The sequence below is a fragment of the Homo sapiens genome, chromosome 16 (genome assembly GCF_000001405.40).
Source record: "Homo sapiens chromosome 16, GRCh38.p14 Primary Assembly".
In the NCBI taxonomy this organism is placed as follows: domain Eukaryota; kingdom Metazoa; phylum Chordata; class Mammalia; order Primates; family Hominidae; genus Homo; species Homo sapiens.
This window is the reverse complement of record NC_000016.10, coordinates 58760234-58774431: the sequence shown is the minus strand read 5'-3', so window position 1 is coordinate 58774431 and position 14198 is coordinate 58760234. Positions and strand designations below refer to the sequence as shown.

Sequence of the window (14198 nt, the reverse complement as noted above, 5' to 3'; positions counted from 1 at the left end):
TCAGGTGATCCGCCCACCTCAGCCTCCCAAAGTGCTGGCATTACAGGCGTGAGCTACCACACCTGGCCCTACTTGCTTTTTGTTTCATATCTTCTCACTTTGCTTACACTGACTTCTTTGCCTGGAATGGACTCTCCTTTTTCCCCTTGGATGACTCTTGTTCATTCATTCAGGTTCTTAATGAAGGTGCCATGCCCAGAAGCCTTCTTCAAAACCCCAGATAATATTAACATCCTCTTTCCCCTTTTTTTTTCATAATATCCTGTATGTGATCATGACATTTTGTGATTGTGTGATTTTTGCACCCCAAACTATGGTAAGTTCAAGGTCAGGAACTATGTTCATTTTTCTTTGTATACCCAGTATTGCACAAAACAAACACTCTAGTATTTGTTTAACTGAACAGATACAAACAGCACCTCATATAATACTGTACAGATATACTGAAATTGGTCAAGTCTCTCTAATTTTCTTCCTGAATCAAAAGCACCACCACCAACAAAAACTAAGCACCTCTATGTACCAGCTCTGAACTAGGTACTGTGGAATTGGCAATGACTTTGTACTATGAGAAACAGTGATAAAATTCTTAGAAAATATCTATAGTGTGAGGTAACATTTGATAAGGTCCAAAGACAAGCTAGAAATTCATTCTTTGTGATTACGAATGCATCCCTGACCTACCAGATTCTAGTTATAAGTATTGCTTTACCTTTTTAAACCCTTTTTCTATGCAATGCAAAGATCTTAGATTTTTGCAACACTATATCCACTTTCTTGAATTATATAATTACGTGTTACATTATTGGTGTGATTAAATATAGATGAATATTATCTAGCTAAAAATATAAAGAGATAGATAATGGAAAAGGGGGGTTAAAGGAATTAGTGAAGAATTAATATCCTGTGTTAAATTCAGTACCCTAAGACCAGTTTGGACTTTTATGTTTAGGGCTCCAGAGAGGGTTGTCCCAGAAAGAAGGGCTATATGAACAGTCCTGCGCACAGCCCCTCTGTGTCTTGCCTTCTGCTTGGATTTTTCCTTTTACTCCACAACAGCATCCAGGAGTATCCTGCTTACTCCTTAGAATTCCATAATGCCATATCGACATGTCTCTAAGGAGAGCAGGAGCAGGCTGGGGTGTTCAAAAAAACTTCAATGACCACCAAAATGGGAAAAAAAAAAAGTAAAGAAAAATACAATAGCAAAAACTGATGACCCTATTTCCAAAATAAAGGTCTGGGAGCCTCCAAGCATCAACGAAAGCATGAACACACACACCGAATGTACTTAAAACAGCTATTATAGCACCCAAGGACTGCTATCAGTAGTAGCAATAGCTTCCTCAACCAAGCTTGTGAGGTAGGTGCATTTTACAGCCAAGGAAACTGAGCCTCAGAATGATCAAGAGAATTCCTCAAAGTTGCAAGGTTAGTTTTGGAGATAAAATTCAAACCAGTGTCTATTGGATTACAGAGTCTGTGTTGCTTTCATTACACTAAGCTGCCTACCTAGCCAGCTGTATTTTCCTACACATGCAATAGGTTTCCTTTCTAATCAGTATTACCTATTACTTTAAGCTAAGCCTGGTAAGTATTGATTCACATGTAGCTTTCAAAATGTTCACCTCCTATTAGCAGAGGCCAGCCTAGCTGCAGAGAGGAAGATGACCCAAAATAAATCCACATAAACCAAATACTGCATATTCTCACTTATAAGCAAGAGCTACACTATGGGTACACAGGGCCATAAAGAGTGGAATAATGGACATTGGAGATTCAGAAGCAGGGATGGTGGCAGGGGAGAGAAGGATGAAAATTACCTGTTGGGTACAATGTGCACTACTCAGGTGACGGGCACACTAAAAGCCCAGGCTTCACCACTATATATCAATGTAACCAAAAACCACTTGTACCCTTAAAGCTATTGAAAGTAAACAAACAAGCATTCTTAAAAATAAATAAATAAAATAAATCCACAAGCTCTGTATTTGTGGCCAATTTTGTGTTTGGCCCAGCTTTTCCTGATGTTCAAGTCTGAATTATTCCCACGAGCGTCCTAACCTGACTACCATGATGATGGGGAAGAATGAAGAATTACAATGTTGGGAAGTATATATATATTTTCCCCATACTCACTAAAATAACCAAAAGATGGTATGGAAACAACTGAAAACTAGATTCAAAGGCCTATCCTAACATTCCTATTCCCCACCATGTAAGATAGAAAATAGCAATTTCCCCAGCATTTTGGGAGGCCAAGGCAGGCAGATCACTTGAGCCCACAAGCTTGAGACCAGCCTGGGCAACATGTTGAAACTACATCTCTACAAAAAAAAAATTTTTTTAATTAGCCAGGCATGATGGTACACACCTGTAGTCCCAGTTACTTTGGAGGCTGAGGTGGGAGAACTGCTTGAGCCCCAGGAGGTCAAGGCTGCAGTGAGCCCTGATCAAGCCACTGTACCCCAGCATGTGTTACAGAGTGAGACCCTGTCTTAGAAAAGAAAGTAGCAATTTCAATTCCCTTCACAGAAGACAAAGCACAAACTTTGGTGTCTGAAACAGGATTTAAAGCTGTGGAACTGAGAAATCTATTTTCCCATCTGTAAAGGGAGCTGTTAAGGGGATTCAAAATAATATGCATCCCACCCAGCCCACTGTAAGATCAGTTGAAACTGTGAAATAAGTGACAGTTGTTATTGTCACTGTTACTATTACAAATATTAACAGTAGTATTGTTTTAGCATATGCACGCAGGTAACAATAGCTTCACCTAGGAGGTCCTTAACAATTGTAGAAGCTCTTGGAAACCTGCTCCTATGTGGGCCCTTTCCCTTCAGCATGGGACCTGGTACAGACAACTTATACCATCTCCCACTCCTCTTCTCCTCCTCAAGGGGCTACCAATCTTGATGAACGATGAGGGTGAGTGTCGGTAATGAGGCAGAATGGTAGGAAATAATAAGTTAACAAGCCACTTCAGAAATGACTGCATTCATTCTGTTGAGCAGCTACTTAAGTTCCGACAGTTCACACTCATTTGCTAGAGTGTAATTCTAATCAGAATGAAAGTCCTTAATCACAGCACCATTACAGAATCTTCTGTCCTGAACCTATTAGGGCTCTTATCAAGTAAATACCTTGCATTTTTGAGCCTCTGCAAAGGAAACTGAGTCAGCGGTTCACAGCTCTACTTATCCCAGGATTAGTGCTGATGCTGCCAGGTCACAAAGCAATACTCATCCCTCCCCTACCTATTTGTTTCATCCGACCATGACTTGGCCTTCCACCATCCCATACCCTGTGAATAAAGGTCATAAATGCCCTCCCTCCTGCACGGACTCAGGTCAACACACATATCCTGGTTTTACGTTGTGCTGGTCATTTAACTTTTCTCTATCTCACTTTCTTTACATGTAAAGCAGATGATCAAGTCATAGTGCCCCATTGAGCACCAATTGCCCTGATACAAGGCAGTACCTCTTATGATGTTGATGTGAGGGTAGCAGGCAGAGGGATGTGGGTGGAGGATAGTAAAAGCCAATGGAGCAGGCCAGAAACATCACTGGGTTTGGGTTACTTTGAGGTTTGTTTGCTTGTTTGTTTTAAGAGATGGGGTCTCATTATGTTGCCCAGGCTGGAGTGCAGTGGCTATTCACAGGCATGATCTCACTGCTGAGCAGCACGGGAGTTTTGACCTGCTCTATTACTGACCTGGGCCAGTTCACCCCTCCTTAGGCAGCCTGGCAGTCTCCAGCTCCCAAGAGTCATCATACTGACACTGAACTTAGCATGGACACCCATGGGCATAGCGCACTACAGCCCAGAACTTTTGGGCTCAAGTAATCCTCTCACCTCTATCTCCTGAGTAGCTAAGACTACAAGTGTGGGCCACTGCATCTGACTAATTTTGGAAATAATTGAGAGTAATGAAGAGAAAAGGAGAAAACCAGGTCACTGGTCTGCAATATCTTGCAAAATTAATTAAAAGGAAAAGTGTCATGTTTCTTCATTATAAATGGCTCTCACCTTTGGACCAACTCCCAGAAGTCCACCTTGGCCCCCCGCAAGGTCAACAGCGCTGTTTGAAGTCAATTCTGTAGCCCTCAAATTTAAATAATTATATGTTCTCCAAGTCTGCCCCATCTCTATTCTTTTGGTTACTCAGGCTGGATATTCTAGATCTATTTTTGACTCCTTCCTCAACTACCAAACTCTTCAATATCTCTACTATTCCGTATCTCTTCACCACTCCAATGGATGGTCAGTATAAAGTTTCCCTCTCAACTGACATTGAAAAAGCATTTCGCTTTGTTCATCCTGCCTCCAGTATCTCCATTTCAGTGTTTCAGGTCTACCCTGTGATTTTTTTTTTTTTTTTTTGAGATGGAGTCTCGCTCTGTTGCCCAGGCTGGAGTGCAGCAGCACGAGCTCAGCTCACTGCAACCTCTGCCTTCTGGTTTCAAGCGATTCTCCTGCCTCAGCCTCCTGAGTAGCTGGGACTACAGGTGCATGCCACCATGCCCGGCTAATTTTTGTATTTTTAGTAGAGATGGGGTTTCACTATAGTGGCCAAGCTGGTCTCGAACTCCTGACCTGCCTACCTCAACCTCCCAAAATGCTGGGATTACATGCGTGAGCCACTGCACCCGGCCAGGGATTTTAACCTTTAAAAATAAAGCTCTTGTTCCAAAACACTAAATGTCTCCCTAGTTTCCACTAAATAAAGGCCCAAATATCTCAGCCTGGTATTCAACTATTTTCATAATCTGACCCCAAACTTCCCATCTCCAACAGCTCTTGCTGTCTCCTTCCTTGAATTCTAGAGGCCACCCAAGCTGAACTGATTGCTAGTCTCAGTGCATGCCTCTGCTTCCTCTTCCCACATATATATTATGATGTTTTCTGCCTACGAGAAATCCTTAATTCCCAAATTTGTTCAGGTCTAAATTGTTCCTAAACATCAACATGCAACTCAAATGGCACCTTTCCTGAAGACTTTTCTGAACCCCCAAATAGAAGAGATCTTTATTCTCTGAACCCTCTCTCATAGCATTTACTACAGTATGACGACCTACAGGACTGAGTTCTTAACCAGTGCACTCAGCTCCCTCTCAGAGTACAACAAATCCAACTCCAAGGGACTTGAATCCTGGCATCATCATTGATCAGGTATTTGACCTGGGGTTATTTATTTAATCTCTGCCATCTTCCACTTGCTTATAAGATGGGAATAAGAATGATTCCTACTTCACTGGATATGGGAACTTCATGTATGAGGATTTCATGAGATAATACATGTCAGGTACTTGGCCTGCTGTCTGACACAGAAGTGCTCACTAAATTTTAGTTATGGTTTATTTATTTGTATCTGTGGGAGATACTTTCCAAAAAGGGTTGCTGTCAATCCCCTCCTTGCCTATAAGTGTGTGCCACTTCACCCATTAAGTTCATTACCTTTTCTCTTGACTCGAGACTGGCACCGTGACTTTCCTTGACCAATAAAATGCAGCAGAATGGATGCTATTTCTGGTCTTCTCCTTTAAGAAACCCAGCAGAGGCCCTGCATGCTGGCACATGCCTGTAATCCCAGCACTTTGGGAGGCCAAGGCATGCAGATCGCTTGCACACAGGAGTTGGAGACCAGGCTGGGCAGTGTAGCGAAACCCCGTCTCTACAAAAATATAAAAATTACACAGGTGAAGTGGTGTGCACCTGTAGTCCCAGCTACTCAGGAGACTGAGGTGGGAGGACTGCTTGAGCCCAGGTGTTCAAGGCTGCAGTGAGCTGAGATTGCACCACTGCACCCTAGCCCGGGTGACAGAGCAAGACCCTGTCTCTAAATAAATAAATAAATAAAAAGCCCAGAAACCTCCACTTTCTCCCTGGTGAAGCCAGTCACCTTCCTGTAAAGAAGCTTGGACTAGACTACTGAATGATGAGACACTACAAAGAAAGAGAAAGACCACAGGGAAAAGTATTCAGGCACCAGATATATGAATGAACCCAAGTAGGATCTTCCAGTCAAGCCCAACTGCAAGCTGAATGCATCTGCGTAAGAGGCCACCAAGCAAGACATGCAGAAGAACCTCCCAGCTGAGCCCCAGCAGGCGAGACAACCCACAGATTTATGGGAAATCATAAATTATTGTATAGATAATTAAGCAATATTCATTCATTTTCTTTTCTATTAGATCATGCACTCCTTAAGGGCAAAGACCATATCAAATTATATCTGTATTGCCAATTCCTAGACAGAGATCTGAATAAAGTCATATATCAATACGCCAGTGGAGTAAGTCTGTGAGTAGCTAAGGCAGAGCATTTGAACACAAAGCTACTGAATGAACTATTTTGGTCTCTTTATGAAGATACTGTATATGCAAAATCAAATCCCAGTGTAGGAATACATTAATACAGTCTGACAACATAAGCAAGGGGACCCCCTTTAAAAACTCTAAACTCAACATCTTGGGCAAATAGGTCACTTCCAAAACAGCTCTGCTGCCTGCAACCTTCGAAGACAGAGGCAACATGGGTAGCCTGAAGAGGGAAAGTACAGAATTTGGATTTATGGTACCAGGTTGAAATTGCAGAGGGAAACAGATGGGAGATAAAATGCTCTGTGAAGTTTACATTTTTCTATACATTCATTCAGTGATTGCTGCTCACCATCTGTCTTGGCTCTGTAAGTTGGGTCTTCAAGCATTGAAAGAGCTTCATTCTGTCACTATTGCAGAATGACACTGAATGTACCACTTCTAAAGATTATACCTGGTCTAGCAGAGCCCAGCCCTGTCCCGTTAAGCCTGTTGCCCCATCCCCACATCACAAGACTAAAATGAAGGCATCTCTGGCAGCTTTCTCTCATTCTCAAGCTTCATCCTGAACCATCCCCCTCTTGCTTTTTCTTTTTTTTTTTTTCACCTCTTTTCCATTTAGAATCTGGCATGTGTCCTCAGACTATTACTGTACACCAGTGGTTCTCTTCACCAACCATAATGCCTAATTTTCCCGTTAATTTCCTACTTCTGGTTACTGTAAACAAAGTAAATCCCTCATTCCCTACAGCTGGGCCACAAAACCCAGGATAGACCCTTGTAATCTCTGTGATCCCTGGATGTTCACATGAGCTCTTGACTGATGCCCACTTCCTGCATGTTGGTCAACATTTTACCTGGATCCTTTGGAAGGAAGGGAAACAAAAAGGATCAGCAATATGAACCTCTTAATTTGAGTAAATGCTAATCAAACCCAATAACAGGCCGGGCATGGTGGTTCACGCCTGTAATCCCAACACTTTGGGAGGCTGAGGTGGGTGGATCACCCGAGGTCAGGAGTTTGAACCAGCCTGGCCAACATGGCAAAACCCCGTCTCTACTAAAAATACAAAAAATTGTCTGGGTGCAGTGGCTCACGCCTGTAATCCCAGCACTTTGGGAGGCCGAGGCAGGCGGATCATGAGGTCAGGAGTTCAAGACCAGCCTGACCAATGTGGTGAAACCCCGTCTCTACTAAAAGTACAAAAAAATTAGCTGGGCGTGGTGGCACGTGCCTGTAGTCCCAGCTACTCGGGAGGCTGAGGCAGGAGAATCACTTGAACCCAGGAAGCGGAGGTTGCAGTGAGCCGAGATCACGCCATTGCACTCCAGCCTGGACAACAGAGCCAGACTCCGTCTCAAAAAAAAAAAAAAAATTAGCCAGGCATGGTGGTGGGCACCTGTAATCCCAGCTACTTGGGAGGCTGAGGCAGGAGAATCACTTGAGCCTAGGAGGCAGCGGTTGCAGTGAGCCAAGATCATACCACTGTACTCCAGCCTAGGTGACAGAGCAAGACTATGTTTAAAAAAAAGAAAGAAAGAAAAAAGAAACAAAAACAATAACAGATGTTCTCTTCAGCTTTCACTCTCCGTTTTGCATCATGTGAAAAGTCATGCCCTCCCCAATAATTTTTGTTCAGTTCTAAGATCTTTATATTCTCATTGCCACTCCTTTCAGCAATTCCCTAACTCCACTGAATTCTGATTTCTGATTTTAGTTATGCCATATGTTCATTTACTGAGTCCTAAATATCTTTCTTATATCATCAAATATTTCTCAAGTTGGCCGGGCATGATGGCTTACACCTGTAATCCCAGCATTTTGGGAGGCCAAGGTGGGCGGATCACTTGACTACAGGATTTCAAGACCAGCCTCACCAACATGATGAAACCCTGTTTCTACTAAAAGTACAAAAATTAGCCTGGCATGGTGGCGTATGCCTGTAATCCCAACTACTCGGGAGGCTGAGGCAGGAGAATTGCTTGAACCCAGGAGGCAGAGGCTGCAATGAGCCAAGACTACACCACTGCACTCCAGCCTTAGTGACAGAGCGAGACTCCGTCTCGATTAAAATATATATATATTTCTCAAGTCCTTCATATATGAATGTAACAAAACCCCATCACTGTTATCTAAGACATAATGATCTAGTGCGGGGACAGAATAATGAACAGGTAATTAAACACTGTTAAATGCTCTGATTGCAAAAGTAGAGTGTACTTCATTCTAGGGTGAGCTGAGAGGTTAGAAAAAGCTTCCCAGAGAAGTAAGAAGCAGGGAATACCCAGATTCTTGCAACTCAAAATGTGGTCCATAAAAATAGATAAATCTACAATTATACTTGGAAATTTCAGTATCTCTCTCTCTCTCTCAAAAATTAATAGAACACTGGGCACAGTGGCTCACACCTGTCATCACAGCACATTTGAAGGCCGAGATGGGAGGATCACTTGTGCCCAGGAGTTCTTAACCAGCCTGGGCAACAAAATGAGACCCCATCTCTATAAAAAATGTAGAAAGTAGCTGTACATAGTGGCATGAGCCTGTGGTCCCAGCTACTCAGAAGGCTGAGGCAAGCAGATCACTTGAGCCCAGGAGGTCGAGGCTGCAGTGAGCCATGTTCACACCACTGCACTCCAGTGCTTGGGTGACACAGTTAGACCCTGTCTCAGAAAAAAAAAAAAAAAATGACATAACAAGTGGACAGGAAATCACCAAGGAGATAGTAGACTTGACAACTATGAACCAACTTGACCTAGTTGACATTTATAAAACACTCGACCAAACAACAGCAGGATAAACATTCTTCTCAAATGCACAAAAAACAGTTACAAAAAAAAAAATCCTACTCTGGGACATAAATCGAGTCTCAATTATTTCAAAAGAATTCAAGGCATACAAAGTATATTCTCTGCCCACAAATTAATTAAATTAGAAATCAATAACTGAAAGAGCTCTGGAAAAATCCCAAAATATTTGGAAACTAAATAGTACTCATCTAAATAACCCACAGGTCAAAGATGAAATCAAAAGGGAAATTAGAAAGTTTTCCAAGCAGCATGAAAATGACAACACAAAGTATCAGAATTTATCAAGTGCCATAAAGCAATGCTAACAGAAATTAGTGCCTATATTAGAAAAGAAGAAAGGTCTCAAATCAATAACTTCAGCTTCCACCTTAGAAACTAGGATAAGAAGAAAAACTACCAATGTCCATCAATGATAGACTGGATTAAGAAAATGTGGCACATATACACCATGGAATACTATGCAGCCATAAAAAAGGATGAGTTCATGTCCTTTGTAGGGACATGGATGAAGCTGGAAACCATCATTCTCAGAAAACCATCACAAGGACAAAAAACCAAACACTGCATGTTCTCACTCATAGGTGGGAATTGAACAATGAGAACACTCGGACACGGGAAGGGGAACATCACACACTGGGGCCTGTTGTGGGGTGGGGGGAGTGGGGAGGGATAACATTAGGAGATATACCTAATGTAAATGACGAGTTAATGGGTGCAGCACACCAACATGGCACATGTATACATATGTAACAAACCTGCACGTTGTGCACATGTACCCTAGAACTTAAAGTATAATTAAAAAATAAAAAAGAAGAAAAACTAAACCTAAATTAAGCAGAAGAAAAAGAATAATAAAGATCAAAGTGGAAATCAATGAAATGGAAAAGCAATAGAGAAAAACAATGAAACCAAAAGCTGGTCGTTTGAGAAGATTAATAAAATTAACAAATCTCTAGCCAGAATGACTAACAGAGACACACAAATCACTAATATCAGAAATAAATGAGTTACATCATTTAAATTTCTTCAGATATTAAAGATAAGAAGCAAATATAGTAAATAACTTTATGGCAACAAATTCAAAAACTTAGATAAAACGAAAACAAAAAATCCTTATGGGACACAAATTACCAAACCTCATTAAAGAAAAAATAAACTGAAAAGATCTATCTATAAAAGCAAGTGAAGTTATAATTTAAAACATCTCCACAAAGAAAACTCCAAGTCCAAATAGCTTCACGGGTATATTCCACCAAATATTTAAAGAAGAAATAATGCTAATTCAATACAAACTCCTCCAAAAATTAAAGAGAAGGGGATACTTTCCAACTTATTCTATGAGGCTAATAGTACTCTAACACTAAAATCCAGAAAGAAAGCATTACAAGGAAATACATAGATCAATAATCCTCTTGAACTTAGACATAAAAATTCTAAACAAAATTTTAGCATGTCAAATGCTAAATTATGTATATATATATAAAGAATAGTATACCAGGGCCAAGTGAGATTTATTCAAAGAATGTAGGGTTAGTTTAACATTCAAAATTCAATCAATGTAATTTACTATATTAACTAACTAAAGGAAAAAACATTATTATCTTAACAGATGAAGAGAAAGCACTTGCCAAAATCCAACATCCATTCCTGATAAAAACTCTTAGTGAACAAATAACAGGGAAGAACTTCCTCAACCTGGTAAAAGCCATTCACACACACAAACACATACACACATACACACACACACACACACACACACACAGCTAACATACTTAATAGGGAAAGACTTAAATGCTTTTCCCCTAAGATCAAGAACAAGTCAAGGATGTCCACTTCTATTTAACATCATACTGGAAGTTCTAGACAGTGCAGTCAGGCAAGAAAAAGAAAAAAGCCATCCAGATTGGAAAAGAAGTACATGGTCTTCTCACAGATAGCACAAAAACCTATATAGAAAAACATGAAATCATCCAAAAAGCTAGTAGAACTAATAAGTAATATAGAAAGGTTGTAGGATGCAATATCGATATACAAAAATCTAATATAGTTCTACATTAGCTACAATTGGAAATATATATATATATTTTTTTTTTTCTTTTTTTTTTTTGAGATGGAATCTGGCTCTGTCGCCCAGGCTGGAATGCAATGACGTGATCTCGGCTCACTGCAACCCCCGCCTCCCAGGTTCAAGCGATTCTCCTGCCTCAGCCTCCCAAGTAGCTGGGATTACAGGTGTCTGCCATCATGCCAGGCTAATTTTTGTATTTTTAGTGAAGACAGAGTTTCACCACGTTGGCCAGACTGGTCTTGAACTCCTGACCTCAAGTGATCCACCTGCCTCGGCCTCCAAAGTGCTGGGATTACAGGTGTCTGCCATCATGCCAGGCTAATTTTTGTATTTTTAGTGAAGACAGAGTTTCACCACGTTGGCCAGACTGGTCTTGAACTCCTGACCTCAAGTGATCCACCTGCCTCGGCCTCCAAAGTGCTGGGATTACAGGTGTGAGCCACCATGCCCGGCTGGGAAATAGAAATTTTTATAATACCACTTACAATAGCATTCTAAAATGTTAAATACGTAGAGATAAATCTTTTTTTTAAATGGGAAAAGACTCATACACTTAAAATTTCTCTAAACGTTTTATTTTTAAAGAATTAAATAAATGACAAAGTATACCTTGTTCATGGGTCAAAAGACTCAATATTGGTAAGATGTCAATTCTTCTGCAAATTATAGATTCAAAATAATCCCAATCAAAACCCCAGCAGGCTTTCTGCAGAAATTGACAAGGTGATTCTAGAATTCATATGCAAATGCTAAGGACCTAAAATAACCAAAACAATTCAGAAAAAGAAGAATGAAGTTGGAGAACTAACCTACCTAATTTCAAGAATTTTTTATGATTTTCCTTTTTTTTTTTTTCTTTCTTTCAGATAGAGTCTTGCTCTGTCATCCAGGCTGGAGTACAGTAGGGCAATCACAGCCTACTGCAGCCTTGAACTCCTGGGCTCCAGCGATCTTCCCATCTTGGCATCCCAAAGAACTGGGATTACAGGCATGAGCCACTGTGTCCAGTCAATAATTATTTAAAAGATACAATAATAAAAACAGCATGGCAGAGGCATAAAAATAGACAAATAGAATAAAGGATCCAGAAAAAAATTCACATATAATTAACGCTGATTTTTTACAAAGAAATATCAGGAATGCAGAAAGGATGGCTTTATTAACAAACAGTGTGAGTTAGGTGCAGTGGCTCATGTCCATAATCCCAGCACTCAGAGAAGCAGAGGCGAGAGAATGGCTTGAGGCCAGAAGTTCAAGGTCAGCCTGGGCAACACAGTGAGACCCCCATCACTAAAAAAAATTCTTTTTTAAAAACCTACAACTATAAAAACTCTGGAAGAAAACTAGGATATACTATTCTAGACATAGGCCCTGGCAAAGATTTCATGACGAAGATACCAAAAGCAATTGCAACAAAAACAAAAAATTGACAAATGGGACCTAATTACACTAAAGATCTTCTGCAAAGCAAAAGAAACTATCAACAGAATAAACAGACAACCTACAAAACAGGAGAAAATACTTGCAAACTATGCATCCAACAAATGTCTAATATCCAGAATCTATAAGGAATTTAAATCAATAAGCAAAACACAAACCACCCCATTAAAAAGTGGGCAAAGGACATGAACACTTTTCAAAAGAAGGCATACATGAGGCCAGGAGTTAGAGATCAACCTAGGCAACATATGAGACCCCATGTCTTAAAAAAAAAAACAGAAAAATTAGCCAGGTGTGGTGGTGTGCACCTGTAGACCCAACTACTCAGGAAGCTGAAGTGGGAGGATTGCTTGAACCCAGGAGGCTGAGGCTACAGTAAGCCATGATCATGCCACCCCAGTCCAGCTCGGGCGACAGAGCGAGATCCTGTCACCAAAAAGAAAGAAAGAAAGAGAGAGAGAGATGTACACAAATCAGTAGCTCTGCTACACACCAATAGCGACCAAGATAAGAATCAAATCAAGAACTCAACGCCTTTTACAATAACTGCAAAAATAAAATAAAATACTTAGGAATATACCTAACCAAGGAGGTAAAAGACCTCTACAAGGAAAACGACAAAACACTGCTGAAAGAAATTATAGGCGACACAAACAATGGAAACGCATCCCATGCTCATGGATGGGTAGAATCAATATTGTGAAAATGACCATACTGCCAAAAGCAATCTACAAATTCAGTGCAATTCCCATCAAAATACTAACATCATTTTTCATAGAATTAGTAAAAATAATCGTAAAATTCATATGAAATCAAAAAAGAGCCCAAATAGCTAAAGCAATTCTAAGAACAAAGAGCAAATCTGGAGACATCACATTACATGACTCTAAATTATACTACAAGCCTATAGTGACCAAAACAGCACACTACTGGTAGAAAAATAGACACATAGGCTGGGTGCAGTGGCTCGCACCTGTAATGCCAACACTTTAGGAGGCCAAGGTGGGAAGATTGTCTGAATCAGGAATTTGAGACCAGCCTGGGCAACACAGCAAGACTCCATCTCTACAAAAAAGTACAAAAATTAGCCGGGTATGCTGGCACATGCCTGTGGTCCCAGCTACTCAGAGGCTGAGGTGAGAAGATTGCACTTGAGCCTGGGAAGTCGAGGCTGTAGTGAGCCAAGATCATGCCACTGCACCTCAGCCTGGGCAACAGAGGCGGCCCTTCTCAAAAAAAAAAAAAAAAAAAAAAAAAAAAGACACATAGGTCAATGGAACAAAAGAGAGAACCCAGAAGTAAATCCACATACCTACGAACAACTGATATTTGACCAACCTCACAAAAATATACACTACACTGGGGAAAGGGCACCCTATTCAATAAATGGTTCTGGGAAAATTGAATTGCCATATGCAAAAGAATGAAACTGGACCCCTGTCTCTCACCATATACAAAAATTAACTCAAGATGGGTTAAAGACTTAAATGGTTTGGCTCTGGGTCCCCACCCAAATCTCATCTCAAATTGTAATCCCCACATGTCCAAGGGAGGGA

The 14198-nt window shown here is 40.7% G+C and overlaps 1 long non-coding RNA gene and 1 pseudogene across 2 annotated transcripts in view; both read right to left on the bottom strand.

The window, feature by feature from the left end:
* LOC107984867 (uncharacterized) overlaps window positions 1-14198 on the bottom strand; it is a 114037-nt gene that overhangs the window by 89275 nt on the left and 10564 nt on the right. The window lies entirely within an intron of this gene.
* Window positions 3612-3901, bottom strand: RN7SL143P (RNA, 7SL, cytoplasmic 143, pseudogene; annotated as a pseudogene).